This window comes from Homo sapiens, chromosome 5 (genome assembly GCF_000001405.40).
Source record: "Homo sapiens chromosome 5, GRCh38.p14 Primary Assembly".
Lineage (NCBI taxonomy): Eukaryota > Metazoa > Chordata > Mammalia > Primates > Hominidae > Homo > Homo sapiens.
In genome coordinates this window covers 109468422-109488297 of record NC_000005.10, presented here as the reverse complement: position 1 = coordinate 109488297, position 19876 = coordinate 109468422, and the positions used below count along the sequence as shown (strand labels likewise).

Here is a 19876-nt window from a genome sequence, read left to right as displayed (position 1 = left end):
GCACTATGGGAGTCCTTCTCTGGGCCGCCCGAGATCGGAGCCGGCTATGGGAGTCCCTCTCTGGGCTGGCCGAGGTCGGAGCCGGCTCCCTCTGCTTGCAGGGAGGTGTGGAGGGAGAGGCGCGGGCGGGAACCGGGGCTGCGCGCCGGACCAGCGCGAGTTCCGGGTGGGCGTGGGCTCGGTGGGCCCCGGGCAGTGAGGGGCTTAGCACCCGGGCCAGCAGCTGCGGAGGGTGCGCCGGGTCCCCCAGCAGTTCCGCCCGCCGGCACTGCGCTGGAATTCTCGCCGGGCCTCAGCTGCCTCCCTGCAGAGCAGGGCACCGGACCTGCAGCCCGCCATGCCGGAGCCTCCCCGCAGCCGTAGGCTCCTGCGCGCGGAGCCTCCGCGACAAGCGCCGCCCCCTGCTCCTCGGCGCCCGGTCCCATCGACGGCCCAAGGGCTGAGGAGTGCGGGCACAAGGCGCGGGACTGGCGGGCAGCTCCGCCTGCGCCCTGGAAGCTAGGTGAAGCCAGATGGGCTCCTGAGTCTAGTGGGGACTTGGAGAACCTTTATGTCTAACTAAGGAATTGTAGCTACACCAATCAGCACTCTGTGTCTCGCTCGAGGTTTGTAAATGCACTAATCAGCACCCTGTGTCTAGCTCAAGGTTTGTGAATGCACCAATCATTGCTCTGTGTCTAGCTGATCTGGTGGGGACTTGGAGAACCTTTATGTCTAGCTAAGGGATTGTGAATGCACCAATCAGCACTCTGTGTCTAGCTCAAGGTTTGTAAATGCACCAATCAGCACCCTGTGTCTAGTTCAGGGTTTGTGAATGCACCAATCAGTGCTCTGTGTCTAGCTAATCTAGTGGGGACTTGGAGAACTTTTGTGTCTAGCTCAGGGATTGTAAACGCACCAATCAGCACCCTGTCAAAACAGACCAATCAGCTCTCTGTGAAATGGACCAATCAGCAGGATGTGAGTGAGGCCAGATAAGGGAATAAAAGCAGGCTGCCCCAGCCAGCAGTGGCAACCCTGTCAGGTCCCCCTCCATACTGTACAAGTTTTGTTATTTTGCTCTTTGCAAAAAATCTTGCTGCTGCTCAGTCTTTGGGTCCGCACTGCCTTTATGAGCTGTAACACTCACTGCGAAGGTCTGCAGCTTCACTCCTGAGCCAGCGAGACCACGAACCCACCAGAAGGAAGAAACTCCGAACACATCCGAACATCAGAAGGAACAAACTCCGGACACGCAGCCTTTAAGAACTGTAACACTCACCACGAGGTCCACGGCTTCATTCTTAAAGTCAGTGAGACCAAGATCCCACCAATTCCGGACACATTAGCTAGTCAGGAGTCTGAGGCAGGAGAATTGCTTGAGGCAGGAGAATCGCTTGAACCCGGGAGGCAGAGGTTGCAATGAGCCAAGACTGTGCCACTGCACTCCAGCCTGGGTGACAGAGCGAGACCCATCTCAAAAATAAAAAATAAAAAAGTATGAATCGCTGATGCCACATGACTTTTAGTTTTGTAATCATGAATCTGAACCAACAGAAAACACACGCTCTTTACATTCTAGTAGAATATCTTGAGTAGATTCTTTGTTAAAAGAGATTTGTGAAGGGAAGTTAGGGCATGTGAGACCAGACGCCCTAGAGTATGACTCTGCTACGTGGCATTCCTTACTCCTCTCTGTCTTAGATGATTTCCCTGAGTGTACTCCCTGCGGGGACCCACAGTGTCCACCATTCTCCGTGGGATTAGTTACGCATCTCTGAGTAACAAATTTGCCCCAAACTCAGCACCTTAAGACAACAAACATTCATCACTTACCTGGCACCATGTGTAAGGTCCAGGAATCCAGGAGTCGCTTGGCTTTGTGGTCTGGCTCAGGGTTCCTCATGAGGTCTCTGCAAAGTCAAGCTGCTGGCAAGGACTGCAGGATCGGTTTCCAAGTTCACTGGTGTGGCTGTTGGCTGGAGTCTTCAGTTCCTCACCATGTGGGCCCCTTCACCGGATAGCTCATATATGCAAGCTAACTTTCCCCAGCACAAGTGATCCAAGAAAGTGAGAGACTGAGGCAAAAGCCACAGTGTAATCCATAACATGATCTCGGAGTGACATACCATTATTTCTGCCATATTCCGTGAGTCACACAGACCAACCCTGGTAGAATGTGAAAGCTGCTACACACGGGTGTGAGTAGGAGGAGGCCAGGCATATTGAGGCTGGCTCCCACACCACCTTGGTGGTTAACTATTCTTCTACCTGGGCCACATCTGGACATTTTTAGTCTATTGATAACTATGCTCCAGTTTATGTCTATTTTTCTGTTCCTTCCAGACTAAGCTATTATTAAACTACTGTCTGATGCTGAAGTTTTCCTTTCTCAAAGTAAAAACCAAAACATTTACCCTATTACATATAACATGAGGACCTGAAGGCCTTTCATCTGGTGTTTCTTCAAGTAAACCTGAATATGTTGATTGAAGTGCATTCGCTTCTAGAACTCAAGGATCACAGGGCTGGAGATGACTATACAGCATGCAGCATGTCATACTGGTTTTGAGAAGTTAAAAATACTTATGATGATCTTCAGTAGATGATGCTCCAGAGAAATGCTTGCCTTGACTTTTTCTTTCCTCTGGGTCTTTGCTCAGGTGTCTCTATTCTTTCAGAATTAGCTTTCGATCCCTTTCCCCCCATGGATACATATCTTTTTACATGGCCTAACTTCAGTGACACCTTCTTCAGGAAGCCTCCCTTGATCTATTATCCATCCCTTCTCTGAGCTGCATTTACATTTTGTCTGCACTATTCTCTTTCCATCACTTACCCTTTACAGGGTAAAAGGCACCAGCCGCTGCTCATATGGTAGAACTGTGTCTAGGCTCATTTCACCAAGGTAAAGGGGTAGTATTGGAAGCCAGTCTGTTTGGCGAGGCATGGTGAAAAACCTCACAGGTGAAGAGCTTCCCAAACCATTTTTTTTCACGTGAATTTTGCCGCAGTCATAGAAAAGTTCATCCCTAGGATCCTAGGATAATGGGTTTCCCTTCCTGGAACCAGTAAATATTTACTTTCCCGCAGTTCCTGACTGCCAGTGCGACAGCATGATCTTTCAAAGCCGCTTGCTCAGTGGCCTCGTGGACGCCATCCAAACTTGGCTTTGAGCCAGGCAGAGCTTAGCATGTTCCTGGAGGCAATGGGGGGTAGTACTGATCCTAGTTTCTGCAGCCTGACCCCAGGTTCCTCAGCCTTTACTTGCTCAGTGCTTCTCAAGGACTGAAACCCTGAACCTGTCTGCTTCTGTGTATAGGGTATTCTTATCTCTCTTTTTATTATAGAAACAATGTAGCCACTTTCAAACACTTAAAAAAAATAGTGGGAGAAAACAAAACTCCAACAGTTCCATTACCCGACTGCACAAGGGGCAGAGCCTGGGAGTTCTAATCCTGTGTTCTACGTGTTTAGCAAATAAGTTCAAGTTCACTAACTTATTTTGCTTGCCCCATTAAAACCCTTCCTCGTGTGCTCATGCACCTGTCCAACCACACCCACACACACTCCTTTTTTTTTTTTTTTTTTTTTTTTTTTGCTTTTATGGACTGTTTGCTGATTCTGTTAGTTTCTGGGACACAAAAGTGAGTGGCACATGACATGTGTTCCCTTCCAATTCTTTCTCCATATGTAAAGGAAGTTGTCACATAATTGTGTCACGGTGTGCATACAGTTTTCTACTCTTCTTCTGGCAGTTAACATAAAATCATAAGCAACTTTTCAATGTTGCTGCAGAATCTTCATAAATCAGTGTAGGAATTTTTGGTTTTTAACCAAAAGGTCTCACCTGTGTCGTTTAGTTGCTGAATTACCTTGGACAACGAATTAACCTCTCTGGGAATCACTTTATCTCTAAAAGGGTGTTGACAATATCTGCCTTGTGCTGTTGGGAGTAATAAATGAGGTGCAGGATGCAAAGTCTTAATGATGGCATACACTAAATGTCCAATCAATTCTAGCTAAAAATAATAACCTTCTTAAAATATGTTTATGATTGCACTGTATTCCATCAAGTGGAAAATAAAAGTTATTTTTGAGATTATAACCACTCTGACACATGAGGAAATGTTTATTATGCACCCACAAACTCTTTAAATTCCAATTTTAGCCACTTGAGTTTGATGCCCACCTACTGTCCCTGAGTGTAGTGACCTCTCTCTCTAGTCACAGTCCTTTCATGTGGGAATGTATTTCAGTTTATTCCAGCTCTGTCCTTTCCTTCCTTCATCCTGCATACACATTTCTCTCCAATAGAGCTAATAAAAAATATTTGCCTGCTGCATTAATGTTCACATTGAGGCTATTCATAGGAAGATTCCTAAATTTTTTGTATGACAGTCAACATTGCGTGCAGTTTGGAAGCAGAATTTCAGAATGTTTATGTATCATCCCAATAAATGGTTAAGAACTTAGTGAATGAATGGAAGTCCTTGCAAAGATAAGACATGTGTTAATGAGGAAGTTGTTAACTTCACAGGCTCTGTTTGAAGGCTCAGATTATTTGTGAAACCAAAGAAGCAGGAAGAATGAATTCTGCTGATTACTGCAGAGGGAGGGGAAGAGCTTTGGCTAGAAAGCTCTGGGTTTTATTTTTATAACGAAATCTCTGTAAATAAATAAATAGCACTAATTTACATTAAATTATCTTGTCAATATCTATAAATATGGTACATTCTGGTGATAACTAAACAATAAGCAGTGAAATTTTACTAGGGTTGGGTTCTATTTTGTTTTGAGGAGGGAGGAAGTGTTGCTATTGGAATGACAGGCTGAGTAGAGTTCTTCTACAGAATCCACTTTTGCAAATTTGAGCAGAAATAGAACTGATGAAATGATATTAGATAGCTCACAGAATATCTGGTAGGGCCAGAGGATCAGATGACAAATTTGAGCATCCAGGAGCCATGATAACCACCCCTTCTCTAGCAGAAACACCACAGATGCTGGCACTTGGCACTGATCCTCAGGACTGAGTTCCAGAAGTACCGCCACCCCAAGCCCCAGAACTGAATCCCTACAGCAGACCTGCCAAAAGACCAATTTTCCCAGTTGCCTCTGCCTCCAACCAAGAAATTTTCCTGTAGGGGATCAGTCAGGGTGGTGGGAGAAGTTGTACAGATAAAGTTATAGGAAATAGACACAAACCTTCTTGGAAGGCCGGGAGGTTTGCATAGGTTCAGTAAAAGATTTGGCTGAAGGCAGCTGAATTCTCTTAAAAGCTTAGGGTGTAGATACATAGGAATGTAGAGGAGTTTACCTAAATAGCTTGCTTACTCATGTGGTCCTAAGACCAACCTTTGATCATCGGCAGGCACATGACTGCTCTTTACGCAGGAGGTTGGCAATGTTAATTACCCTCTAGTGTTGTTTACTGGAGACATTTGTCATTTAATCTGTACTAAATAAATGCGAACTTCACCAGCTTGTCGGGGCCAAAGCTGTGGACTCAGGCAGCAAAGCCCCTTAGCTGCTCTGACAGGCAAAATATCTGTGTCAGTGTATGTCTTTCATCCGTCACTGGGTCAGGGTCTGCACGTCAGACCCAGCATCTTCCCAGTATGTCATCCCAGTGCTAACACTCCCTTCCTCCTCAAAACAAAACAAAATAAAACCCAACCCTAATAAAACTTTCATTGCTCCTTGTTTAATTCAAATCTGTCTTTCAGGGACAGTCCGATTAGAGTGAGTGAGGTCACATGACTATACCCTAATACAAGGGGTTTGGGAATGGAAATTTTCTGGCTCCCACTTTAGGAAGGTGAGACACATTATGTATGAAATTATCACAGTGTAGGATGCATGTTCAAAGACATTGAGTAGCTCAAGTGATGAATGAACATTATAGGGTCAGTCATTTTGAGTGTTCTGTATACACTGACTGTGAATTTCTGTCTCTAAGGAGAAATTTCTGCCATTAAGTACTTCTTGGCATGCTGATGAAGGACTCCACATTTCCCAGATTCCAGGACTGCTCAAACCCTTTGCTGCCACAAAGAAACCTTGCCATTCATGAAACATGTAGTCCCACTCCCTTCCTTTCTTCCCTCTCCAATATACCCAGCATTAGCATGGGGCTATAAAGATGATAAAAATTAAAGTGTGTGTGTGTGTGTATTACTAAATATCACATACTGTCATGGGGTGGCAGGTTCATTACTTCTCCTCTGGTATAAGGTTAGATATAATTGTAACAACAGAAAAAGGAATATATTGTTTTTTTAGAATTTTTTTTTTGAGATAGGGTCTTGCTCTGTAGCTCAGGCTGGAGTGCAGTGGCATGATCTTGGCTTACTGTAACTTCTGCCTCCTGGGTTCAAGCAATTCTCCTGCCTCAGCCTCCTGACTAGCTGGGACTGCAGGCGTACCCCACCATGCCAGGCTAATTTTTTTATTTTTGATAGGGACAGGGTTTCACCATGATGGCCAGGCTGGTCTCGAACTCCTGACCTCAAGTGACCTGCCCGCCTCGGCCTCCCAAAGTGTTGGGATTACAGGTGTGAGCCACCACACCCGGCATGTTTCTCAGAAATTTGATGGCATAAGAGGGAAATAGGATGCATGGATAAGATAATTAATTATAAAAGGTCTTGGAATGCAAGAAAATCATATATAATTTCACCATTATTAGTCATCCAAACCTAAGGCAGAATGCTAATTACTCACTCTAATTTAAAAAATAATGATTAAAATGGTCAGTGTTTCCAAATAATAACTGCAAAATAGTTAGATGGGAGGAAAATAAACCTATTCTTCAGTAGTGTATTTAGAAACCTTATCAATCTTTGATATTCATAGCTAAGGAGTCAATCTGCTTTGTAAATTTAATTATAAGCCAAATAATTAGTGTATGGAGAGAATTAATAAAAATATGTCAAGGTAATCACAAACCAGCTTCAAATAACTGATTTAACTAATGATGAGTTTTTCACTGAAACATCTGTATATGCTGGAGAGTTTCTCTAATATTATTTGATTTTAAAATATCTTTTAAAATTACAAATGCAGTATGTTTATGACAAAAAATTTAGAAACCTAGATAAGCAAAAAAAGAAATTACTCATTACCTCATGTATATTAGTCTGCTCAGGAGGCCATAGCAAAATAACGTAGACCAAGTGGCTTGAGCGGCAGACATTTACTTTCTTCAGTTCTAGAGGCTAGTAGTCCCAGATCAAGGCACCAGTCAATTTGCTTGATGAGGGCTTTCCTCCTGGCTTATGGGTGGCCACCTTCTTGCTGTGTTCTTACACGGGGCAGAGTAGGGAGAGGGTGGGGTGAGTGTGTACCCAGAAGCTCTCTGAAGCATTCTTAGAAGCATTATTTCCATCCTGAAGGTCCCACCCATATGACCTGTTTTAACCTTAATTACCTCCCAAAGACCCTGTTATATTGGTGGTTCAGGCTTCAACATATGAATCTGGGGAGGAAACAACATTCAGCCTATATCATGTTCAGGATAGAACCCCTGTTGAGTGTCGTCATTCTGTATTTTGCATAAGGAAGGAAACAAATATTGTAAAAAATGAAAATATACTGATTTGAAACTCTGCTTTTCATCTAACACTATTCTGAGAATATCTTTCCACTTAATTGAGTAATTACATAATTAAATATGTAAAAAGTATTTTAAATGTCTTCCACAATTTTTCTGTAACATTAGGGTTAATAACAACATAATAACTGTTAATAACAATGTATGGTTAATAACTACACTCTTAGTTTCCCAATTCACCTCTTGGTGGACATTTACATTTTCCTAATGTGTAATATTTTACCAATAGTTCTATGAAGTGCTATGAAGAACAATCTTGTGACTATTTCTTTGTTGTATCCCTATAATCATTCTGAGTAGTGGATTTCTGGGGCAAAGACTATGCATATTTTAAGACTTTCAATAGCATTGCCAAATGTCCCTTGATAAAGTTTATTCCAAATGTATTCCCAAGTAGCAAAATAAGAATGCCTGTTTTTTATGTATTCACCCTTAACTTATGTTAACATAGGGTAGTGTCATTTAAAAAACTTTTACCAGAGATATTACACTGTCACTTTAATTTAGTATTTAAATGTTCTATAGAAATTTTAATCAACCTTTACACTTAGAGGTTCCATCTATCATCAGAAAAGTCTTCCCCACCAAAAAATTAAATAAGCTTTCATATATATTTCACTCTAAACTTTTAAAGCCTGGTTGTATAGATTTACATTTTTAATTCATCTTGAGTGTATTTTAAACTTTATACTTTTTTCAAGTGATTAGCAAGTTGTCCCTATTTGTTTTGAAATTGAGTTGAATTATGCATAAGATTTTGTTATTTCCCACACAAAAAAGAATTCTAATTAGTAAGATATAAAAATAGGCCTTATGTTAAAGGATCCTTAAATATAAAGTAGTCCTCATGGTATAGACTCTTAGGATCATTTTATTATAAAGATTACGTAGATTGACTCCGGCCAGCTGTTGGTAATTTTATTTTTTCAAAAACATGGTGTGAACATGAACTATGACAACTCCCTGAATAACAATCTTAAAAATTAAATCTTCACATACATGATTTGGCTTCAAAATAAAAGATTGTAGATAAGTTTCTCCATAAGCATAACTTCATTCTAATCTTGAAATCAGCAAAATTAAAGACTACAAGCATAATTAATTTTGATATGACAAATTAATTCTTGCTGTTTCTTGGCATTTTCAACAAGGATATTGATTGTTATCATAATTTTTTTAACACAAATAGTTATCCAATAAAATCTGGAAATGCATTTTACTATTTATTTAGAACTTCAAACTGCCACTAGATGGTGTCATTAAGTCTTTGCCAAACTAGGTCCAATATAATGTAAAGTAAAAGATCTGAACTTTTTACTCAGCACTTCTATGTAGTTAATGATTAAGTCATCTCTAGACAACCATGACTTTAGCTGAATTAAAAAGAATGTCAAATTTTTATTAAAAATGTGTGCTAGTAGGCAATTGCAAGTGGCCTTAATCTTTCTTCTTAAGATGAGTATATAAAAATTAATATTACTATATATACTCACAATAACCAATTGAAAAATAATATACAAGATGACCCCATTCATAATAGCTACAAAATGTAGCCAAAATGTGGAATAATTCTAACAAAATATTGCAATGCTCCTTTATACAGAAAATTATCAAGCATTATTAAAGAGCATTTTGAAAGTCCTAAAAAAATAAAGGGATATACAATGTTCATGGATGGAAAGATTAAACAGTCTCTCCAAATTATCAGAAAGAAACTGACTGAAATGGTGTCTAATACAATTGTATAAATTAACAAATTGATACTCAATTCATACATAATAACACAAGACTCTACATAGTCTGTTCAACTTGAAGAAAAAAATGGGAGTAACTTGTCTTACTTGACCAATGAAACAGTATATAAATCCAAAGAAAAAAATCTATGGTGGCATCCCAAAAATCAGAGAAAAAATATAATTGGTTATTCATATGGGAAAAAAATTAAATATAAATAAAATTATTTACTATACATAAACCAAAAATAAATTCCAAGACAACCAAGAACTTGGATATTTTAAACCATAGCTTTAAAACTGTAAGAAGAAAATGTAGAAATTTATTGTTTTGTCTCAGGATAAGGAAGAATTTATTAAATAAGACACCAAAAGCACAAAATAAAAAGTGATAAATTTTTCCATGTTAAAACTCCTGTGTATCAAAAGATACCACAAATAAGGAAAAAAAAGACAAACAGTGGACTATAAAGAAATTATTGGAAACTTAAGTATCAAATTAATGGTAGTTGTTATTTCCAGGGAAAGAAAACATAAAAAACTTTGTTTCATTTATTTTACAAAATAAATTGTGAAATAAATAGGCAAAATGTGCAATATGTTGAGATCTGATAAAGTTGCATAACAAGTATGCATTTTTATATATTTAAAAATCTTAAATAAGATTTTACTCCAATATTCAAGTTTTATTTTTAAAGAAATAAAAATGTATTCTGACATAGCAGTTCAGCCAGCTGTCCCTAATAGCCTTACAGTGGGTTTTTTTCTTTTACAGTCACTTTTACAATGCTATCTTATCTTTATATTTAGGGAGAAATTCTTGTCAAAAATAATAAAGTGAGTCCTTTTGGGTTTTTAAAAATGATTTCTTCTAACACCTTCTCACAGGGACTAGAATTTTCATTTTGGCTTTTCCATTTGAGAAACAGTGATACCTCTGGAGGCATGCAGACTATTAAAATCGTGTGTCCAATGTCCTATTAAATCATTGCAAGTTTTTTAAAAGTATAGTTACTATTATCTGTTTGGTTATCAGAGCCACTTATTTTGCAGCTACCCTGGGCCAGTCACAAAAAATAAATTATAATTCTACCCTTTGCACAGCAAAGCTGCAGCTCTGCTGGCCAGATTTTTTTGTATCATAGTTCTTTCTCTTTCATACACACTACCTGCTATTTTTATATAACAAATTTAGGGCTCCAATATGCAAATAATTATACTACATTATATACTAAGTATAATAGAAAAAAATCTTAGCCATAGCTCTCCAGGAACTTGAATCAAGCAATAAGAACTACTTTTCTCAAATGGTTATCAGTCTTCACCAAATAATGAAATAGAGATATTTTGCCTTTAGCTTCCCAAAAATGTTACTCCAGTTACCTGAAGTCATGGGAGAAAGTTTTAGGAATTCACTTTTATTTATGAGGAAAAAAAAACTGACATTTTTATTCCTTCATACTAACCTCACCCTAAGTCAACTATCCTCTGTGTCATTGTTCCTCAAAAACCATGAAATTTATATGTGTTTTAGTAAATCAAGGGAAAATTTTAAAACATAAAGGCTAACTCTATCTCCTATCTTAGAAATTTGTGAGAAAAAGAGGCAAATGTAAGAATCACTGAGGGAAAAGATGCTTGTATGAAAGAAAATTTTCTTTTCCTTTTAAAAATTGCTTTGAGGAATTATTCACTTGCTTGAGAAGTATATTGATTTCAGTTGTTCAACTGTGGCTGAGGTTTAGGAGAACATGAGATAGATCCTTTCCTGGTTTCTGGTGTACATGATATGTTAAGTTACCATTAATGACGAGTCAAATTTGCCATTTAGACATACTCTAAAGAGTTGCCTGTGGAATTATTTATATACAATCTTTTTCTGATTATCGTAGAAAATTTGGAAAACACAGTTTAATGTTTTCACTTAGCACTGCATTGTGAACAGAACATTTTAAATAGAAGTCAATGTTTAAAAGTATTCAGATTTGAAAATTGAACCAAATGGAAAAAAAATTAAGTAAAATAATATGTGCTCCAGTCATGTTTTACTGGAATGGCTAGATATAAGGTAATTAGTCTAAGAAATTATCTACTCAATTCTGTCTTGAAAGTACTTCTCAAAAACCATTTGTCTAAGTAAAATTATCTTACATTTAAAAGCATTTAATTGTTCTTGATGCAACACATTGTTTATTAAAAATTCACTGAGAGCCAAATTGTTCTTGCTCTTCCTGACGCCTCCAACTCTTTTTGTCATAGGATTGAGGAAAACAATTATCCAACTATAGAATCATAAACAAAGATAAGTCAGGGAACAATATATTAAATTCCATGTAAAAGTGCTTTTCCCCCAAGTTCCACTAGAACCATTATTTGTCTTGTACCCTGATCCAGTGGTTGGTTGCAGCATGCATTTTCAGTGTTCATTCACTCAAATGCTGGTTTGTACCGTTTCCATTTCCTGCAAGAGTACAGACAGTTCTTGTTTGTGTCCACAATGCATTCCTGGAAATTATAACATATAGGGATCAGTGGTAACACAGACCACTCCCCACTGCCACCTGCCAGGACCAGTGTTACAACTGAGGGTCACAGAGCTAAGTATTTGTTATAAAAACAAGTAAACTGTAGCTATTTCCAGCAAACTTGCCATAAAAACAAAGATTCGACAATGAGATACAGCCATAATAATTTTAAACGTAAAATTCATAATCCACATCTTATACAGTTGTCAAGAGGCTTACATCTACATTGATTATACAATGGACAAATATACTTATAGCACAGAAAAGAAATAAAATTCTGCTATAATACGTTGACCATAATAAATTTAATAAATTCAATCAGCTTAATTTTCTCTTTTCTTTTAGAATTTCAAGGGGTAGGGTAATTGGTGTTTTTTTGGCCCAGAGCTTTTTAAAAAGAATCCCAAGGTATTCCCAGTTGTTTCTTCTTTTTTTTTTTTTTTTTTCCTTTATAAATGTCCACATACAGTCATTTAAAATAGCTCCACAGGCTGGGTGCGGTGGCTCACGCCTATAATCCCAGCACTTTGGGAGGCCGAGGGAGATGGATCACTTGAGGCCAGGAGTTTGAGACCAACCTGGCCAACATGGCGAAACCCCGTCTCTACTAAAAATACAAAAATTAGCTGGGCATGGTAGAGCAAACCTGTAATCTTAGCTACCTGGGAGGCTGAGGCATGAGAATCGCTTGAACCCGGGAGGCGGAGGTTGCAGTGAGACGAGATTTTGCCACTGCACTCCAGCCAGGGCAACAGAAAGAGACTCTGTCTCAAAACAAAAAAAGAAAAAGAAAAAGAAAATAACTCCGCAGAGTAAAACGGAGAATTTAGTGAATGATTTTATGGATGATTATAACAAAAAAGATGACAACGGCAATGGTGGAACCTCCCATGAAAGCATCTTTTCCTTTCAACCTCTCCCAGGGTCTCAGCTGATTCGAAGCTACCTTTGTGTCTTTTTGAGTCAGTCCAGTACATTCCTAGAAGGGTCTTAAACATCTCCTTCCCTGATTCACTGGCACTGCTGATGAAGTTTTCTTCGGTCTGTACAAGAAAATTTGGGTGGATGAAAGCATGAAGAACGGATTTGAGAGATGTTGTGATGGTGGACTTAGGACTTGGATAAAGACAGAACATGGTAAATTAGAAATGTCTTCAAATTCTTTGTTACTCTTTCCTTTAAGAGACTCCTTCTTCCTGTCTTGAATCTCAGCTAAGTGACTTGCTTGATCAATATGGCAAAGGTGGCATTCTGAGAATTGAAGCTGAGTCGAAGTTTTGCAGCTTCCTGCTGGACGTCTTGAAACACATTTCCTTGTTACTCAGCCTCCATTCTTTGAAGAAGCCCAAAAAACTCTGTGGAGGGGTCCACATGGAGAGGAACAGAGGTCCCCAAATGACAAGCCAGCTAAGCTCCCAGCCTACAGCCAGCACTATATTGCTACATGTGATTGACCCATCTTGAGCCACACCAGCTTCTCCACACACCATGTGGAGAAGGGAAAGGCTATCCCTATTGACCCAACCCAAATTGCAGATTTGTAAGCAATTAATAAAAAATTAATAAATGATAGTTCTTTTAAGCTAACAGGTTTTGGAGTGGTTTGTTTCTTAGCAATAGATAACTGGAAAGGTAAGAAGGGCAAAGAAAAAAATAAATTTAATATTTCAAATCTGAAGTAACAAGAAGATAATGCTTTTTTAAAAAAAGACAGTAAAGCGGGAGAAGATAGAACATTTGATTGAAATAGTGTGGGAAAACCTAGGTGTATAAAGAGTTTTGCTGGAGACCAGCAAAAATTATAGTTTGGGTTTAGTCTTGTTTACTTTATTAGCCATGGTATCATGTCTGCCTCTATAAAAACCTGAAATTCAATTAAATCTAGAGTGAGCTGCAAGTTTATTTGAGAATATACATGGCAGAGAGTTAAAGCTTTTAAAGTAAGAGAATATTAAATCCATTATTAAATAATTTGACTGCATAGTATATTATAATTATCTTCAATAGGATATGAATTGTGCAAATAATGTGCAAGATCAACATTGGTCTCCAATTCTTCCCGGGAAGTAAATCAGCTTAATGTGCATGAAATAGCAACATTCAATACTACCTTAATTTTCCCTTTGTTTCTAACGGGTTTAAGGAGGCTTCCAGATTTTGTACATTCAATCAATGCCCTGCAGATGTTATTCTTATGAGAATGTATGATCCCAAAAATGATCTCAAGAGACAATTCTTGTATTTCAGGGAAATACATATATATTGCTGTAATCAAGTGATGTATCTATTAGATGGTGTTGGCCAGGATTATGCCTATGTGTGCCTATCATTTAAATGTAGCCATATGAAAATAGTAGCCCTTTTTTATCCAAAGATAGGCAAAACACCCAAGTAATTTGTTACTTTAATAAATGTTTAGAGAAAAGCTATTGCATAATAACATGAAAATAGTTAGGTAGAACTACAACTTTCATGCTTGCTCATAGCTCATACTGCCAAATAGTTTCCAATAAATGACTTGTATCAACCTATTCAGTATGGAAGTTTTGCATTTTGCACTCCATCCACTTTGTTAAGGAGGATGATGGCAACTATTTTTTCAAAGGGCTCCAGTAAACAGTCTCTAAAGTTGAAATTTGAGTTATTTAATTCTTTTCATGTGTCGAAAAGCTTTGGGGACATAACTCATAGCATCTCTCCCGTGAACCAAAAGTTAATGTATTTTTACAGTACTTAACTTTTCATGGAATGGCTTTCACCTTTTGCCCAATAGGTCAATAAAGAAAATATATTGGAATGCTCTTCATCTGCTATCTCATCAGCTGTAAATATTCCTTGTATATACAGTGCCTGGCACACTTCACAATAGAATGTGAGGGAAGCAAGGAGAGAGAGGGGAGGACTCCTTTAGAAATCTACTGCTGTATCACACCAAGGATTAACTTGAGACTCTTCTGCTCAGTCTATGTGATTTACAGTTCCTTTAAAAAGTGACATGCAGGGCCAGGCATGGTGCCTTAGGCCTGTAATACCAGCACTCTGGGAGGCCGAGGCAGGTGGATCGCTTGAGCCCCAGAGTTTGAGACCAGCCATGGGCAACATGGCAAAACCCCATCTCTACAAAAAATACAAAAAATTAGCCGAGCTTGCCAGTGTGCACCTGTAGTCCCAGCTACTCCAGAAGCTGAGGTGGGAGGATTGCTTGAACCTGGGAGGTCAGGGCTGCAGTGAGCCAGATTGTGCCACTGCCCTCCAGCCTGGGCGACAGAGTGAGATATTGTCAAAAATGAAACAAAAAGAAAGAAGAAAAGAAAAGAAGGAGGGAGAGAGGGAGGGAGAGAACAGGAAAGAAAGGAAAAGAAAAAAAAAAGAAGAAAAGAAAGAAAAAAATTATGAATGTATGCAAATATACACATTTACCTGTAGGGTCTTTAGTTACCATTCTGCTATATTGACTAACACAACATAGGGTGAGTTTAGCTTTAACTTATAAGGCTTTAAAGGGTTTGGGTTACGTGCAGTTGAGTCTGTTCTCTGAATATTATCAGAGCAGCTAATATCAGGAATGGTTATCATAAGGATCATCATAACTGCTACTTAGTAGGTGACCTCAAGTACCAGATACTTTGCTAAGCTTTTGTGTACATTATTATTGTACTGAATTTATTACAACAACCCTGCATCATAGTATCATTATGCCTATCTTGCAGGTAAAAAAGTAGAGGTTAAATAATTTTATAAGGAGTAGAGCCAGGATTTCAACTCCAGACTATCAGTCTCCAAAGCTCCTTCTTTTTTTTTTTTTTTAGATGGAGTCTCACTCTGTCACCCAGGTTGGAGTGCAGTGGCACTATCTCGGCTCACTGCAAGCTCCACCTCCCGGGTTCATGCCATTCTCCTGCCTCAATCTCTCCAGTAGCTGGGACTACAGGTGCCCGCCACCATGCCCAGCTAATTTTTTGTATTTTTAGTAGAGATGGGGTTTCACTGTGTTAGCCAGGATGGTCTCCATCTCCTGACCTGGTGATCCATCCGCGTCAGCCTCCCAAAGTGCTGAAATTACAGGCGTGAGCCATTATGTCCGGCCCAAAGTTCCTTCTCTTTCCACAAGCCTTACAAGTATATTCAGAACCACTATCTTCACTGAAAAGTTATTGAGTAGCCATCACCATAAATGGTGTTTGGTTTGTAGTATGTCAGCTCCCAAATTTATTTAGAGAGACCTGCCATCAAAGTTTCCTTATGGAAGTCCAAGTAAGTCCTAGAACTTATTTCTTCTTTCTTTACCAAAGTCAATTTGATGGTTTTTAAAATTTATGTAAGACTATTCAAGATACCCCACTTTTAGGACTCTAAAAGTAAATTTTGTATCTCAGAATCTTGGGACAAAATTGATTCATTCATTCTATACTGATTGCATATGAAGCACTTGGCTTGACATTGAGAATATAGCAATAACAATATGAAGCTAGCTTTGATCTTGACAAGCCCACAATGATCTCTCTACTTTAAAGCCCAGTGAAATAAAATGCAATAATGTTATTGAGATAGGGAGAATGTATTAAAAGACACAAATGACACCAATAATTTGCAGGCTCCAAATTACTAGGTCTGAAAATTACTAAATGTTTATTAAGCACTAGATTACTTTAGGGCAAGCAAAAATACTGATCTCTCCCAGGACAAACACTTAGGCTCCCTCTTTCAAAAATAAATGTCAAAATATCTTTCTGTTATGAATTTCCAGGCAGAAATTGAAGTTCACTGATGCACTTTAAATTGCACCAAAGGATTAAAAAGGAGAAGAAATGTTAGAGAAGCTTTGGACATGGTTGGGTACTTTTAGATATGGTTAATACATTTTAATTCTGTTTTCAAATACTCTTGGTATTGAATAACAAGGGTGAATTAAGATGTAGTATAGGGAAGCATGCTTTGCAGGAGAAGGAGTTTAATCTGTGACCTATGACATTGACTTTCTTATCTAATATTTCTTTTTGAAATCTTTCTCTGCTGTGCTGCCACATAACTGTAAATATATCAATCTGTTTATTCTTCCTTCTCTGTGCTTCCATTCATGTATCTCCTTCAAGTTAGGAAAATAGGCTATCCTAGAGTAAAAATATTACTGACAATTCCAAAGTGAAAACAATTCTAATGGGAAATACCTTGGCACTATTGGAGGGGCAGCCAGCGCACTGTTCCTCATTATCAGTTAGAAACCAGCAGATGTTAAATTGACATATGTTAGGAAATAGCTTTCAGAAACTCATGTTTCAAAATGTATGAAAGAAAAACAGATGATGCCACCTTTTTTGGCTTAAACTAGATAACTAGAAGATCACACCAGATGTGTTGAGATGTTTCTCTTTAAAAATATGTTCTGTTTCCTGAGAAAGAATGCTCAAAAACAGAAATGAGAGATTTCCTCCTCCAAATGTACTTTGGTCTTCCTTTCATAAATTTAAAATGTTTATTGTGATTAAAATATTTGACAAAAATCAATGGGCAAAAACACAATGAATTCAATATTTTTATAGTTGTTATAGATTTTATAAACTGATTAATTACTCAATTCTCCATGAGAATTGGTCAGTGGAAATCTAAGTAGAATTGAGAGAAAACAAATAATGACAAAGCCTGGAAAATGTAGAACAATTGAATAATATAACTTGAGAAGTGAAATGTTAATCTTACTTGTCTGACAATTTTATTGTAAATGATTCATGCTCACATAGCACCTAAGTCCATTTTTTGTTACTATAAAAGAATGCCCAAGGGTGGGTAATTTACAAAGGAAAGAGGTTTATTTGGCTCACAGTTCTGCAGACTGTACAAGAAGCATGGCACTGGCATCTGCTTCTGGTGAGGGCTTCAGGCTGCTTCCACTCATGGCAGAAGGGAAAGGGGAGCCAGCTGTGCAGAGATCACATGGCTGGAGAGGAAGTATGAGAGCAGGGAGGTGCTAGACTCTTTTACCAATCAGCTCTCCAGGGAACTAATAGAGTGAGAACTCACTCACCCCCAAGGAAGGGCACTAACCTGCTCATGCAGGATCTGCCTCCATGACCCAAACATCTCCCACTAGGCTTTGCATCCCAACACCACCACATTGTGGATTAGATTTCAACATGAGATTTGTTGGGTGCAAACATACAAACCATAGCACATAGGTAAAGTATTAACACAAGAAAATATATTTAGAAGTTGGTGTTTTCACTGTACAGATTACAAGTTGACAAGAACACATGTTGTTTTTGCTTGCCCAGTATTCATTCTCCCTCTTCAGTTGACAGCACTTTAGACGAATACATTCAAGGAACCACCCCTTTTTCACACTCCACATAGCTTCTCTCTATGACTAGATGCTCTCTTGGGGAGAGCATGTAATCTGAGACTGGCCAATCAGTGGATTCTAACCTCAGGGGCTATAATGATTGATTCAGTGTTGGGCAAATGACCCAGGTTAGGCTAGTGAGATCTTGGATCTTTTGGTAGGATCACTGAGAAAAACAAAGTAATGCTTCCTGATATCTTTCAGTCTGTGGATCCAACTTATTTGTGAACTTCTAAATTAGCTGAGCTCCAATTCTCTTTGTTTAAACCCAGTTTGAGTTGTGTTTCTTTCAATTGCAATCAAGAGAGCATGATGATTATATGACAGGTCACTTTGGCTGAGGGAATCAGGGAAAGTTCCATGGAAGATGTAACCCTGGGCAAGATCTTGAAAAAAGCTAGATAGAAGGAAGCAGGGATGGAGAGAAAGGCATTGCTGATGGTGCAGCTGCATGAGTCAAGGAATTGGGGTCAATCTGAAAAGGAACATGGTTACAGGGGTCTCTGAAGCTCAGGATGCATGAAGGATTCCAGGTCTCTGGTCTTAGCCACCACATCCAAACTCCAGTCAGCCCTGTTAACTCCACAGTATGCCATGGAATGGGATATACTCCTAAGGAGAAAGAATGTGCCTTCGAGTGTGGAGACACACAGCCTGGAGCTGGCATGAACAGAGACAATGTAATGGTAATGGAGACATAAGCAGAGACCAACCTTCAAAGGTGAGAACCCCACATCCATGGTGAGAAAATTCTGGATCAAGCAGCATAGAAACTTCAAGTCTTCCCCGTTAATATCTTGGTTGCTCAAGGAGAATTGTGGAAGAATAGATTGTCTGAGAAAGGTCCCCACCGAAGATGGTGACTTCCTAACATTTTTGACACAGTAAGAAAGACATATCAGAACACATAAGAATATTTTAAAAATCAGGAGTTCATACAACAGTATTTATCCTTATTTACCTTTACTACTTGTTATGTACTCTGATATTTTCTATTCTTTCTTTCTTTCTTTCTTTCTTTCTTTTTTAATGCTGGTTGGACCCACTACATTGGTTCCATGGCCCACTTTGAAATCAAGTTTGAAAAATACTGACCTAACAGTGCTGTTAGGAAGCACCAGTAGATGTCACTGTAGGTGACCACGCCAGTGTAACAGCTGCAGCCAGTGACCATGACAACGTTGGCTCCCTGCCAAGAACCACAGTGTCACTTAACTGTGTTTATTTTACTTATTTTTTTTTTTATAGGCCATGTAGTTAGAAGGTTCTGCATTTCAAAAACATGAAGGGACACAGAGGGAAAACTCTCCTTCCCATTCCTACCTCTTGGTCACCTGGTTTTTTTCTCAAGGGTAAATAATGTTACTAGTTTTTTCTGTTTTCTTCCAAAGATATCTTATGCATGTAAAAGTGCACGTGCACACACATACACACACACACTTTTTCTCTTCTTTTACAAAAGGATAGCATAATTATAACACTGTTCTGTACCTTTCTTGTCTTTCCTTAGCATATATTAGGGATTCTTCTACCAGCACGCACAAAAGGAAAGCATTCCCATTCTGTTTATAGTTGCATAATATTCCACTGTACATAGTGCCATTATTCAAACAGGTACCTCCTGACTACACATTTGGTTTGTTTCCAATCTTTTGCTTGCACAAACAATGCTGCAGGGACTAACTTT

At 38.8% G+C, this 19876-nt stretch overlaps 1 long non-coding RNA gene across 6 annotated transcripts in view, besides 1 other annotated feature; it reads right to left on the bottom strand.

Annotated features, from left to right (window-relative positions):
• Positions 1 to 19876, bottom strand: part of LOC105379117 (uncharacterized) — a 122892-nt gene that overhangs the window by 86038 nt on the left and 16978 nt on the right. The window contains exons 1-4 of one of the 6 annotated variants that reach the window (XR_948664.3): positions 19151 to 19540; positions 18903 to 19056; positions 11712 to 11788; positions 11495 to 11609 (exon numbers count right to left, since the gene is read on the bottom strand). This is a non-coding gene — a long non-coding RNA (uncharacterized LOC105379117). Of the gene's footprint in view, positions 1 to 11494; positions 11833 to 17733; positions 18802 to 18902; positions 19057 to 19150; positions 19541 to 19876 lie in introns of those variants that run through there. The other 5 variants (XR_948662.3, XR_948661.2, XR_002956222.1 and 2 more) reach the window with 5 other exon arrangements.
• Positions 19408 to 19487: an enhancer, noted in NCBI's record as "active region_22882". NCBI's record gives its function as "activates an Ori minimal core promoter by ATAC-STARR-seq in GM12878 lymphoblastoid cells {active_cell/tissue: GM12878}" and the evidence as "EXISTENCE:reporter gene assay evidence [ECO:0000049][PMID:35858748]".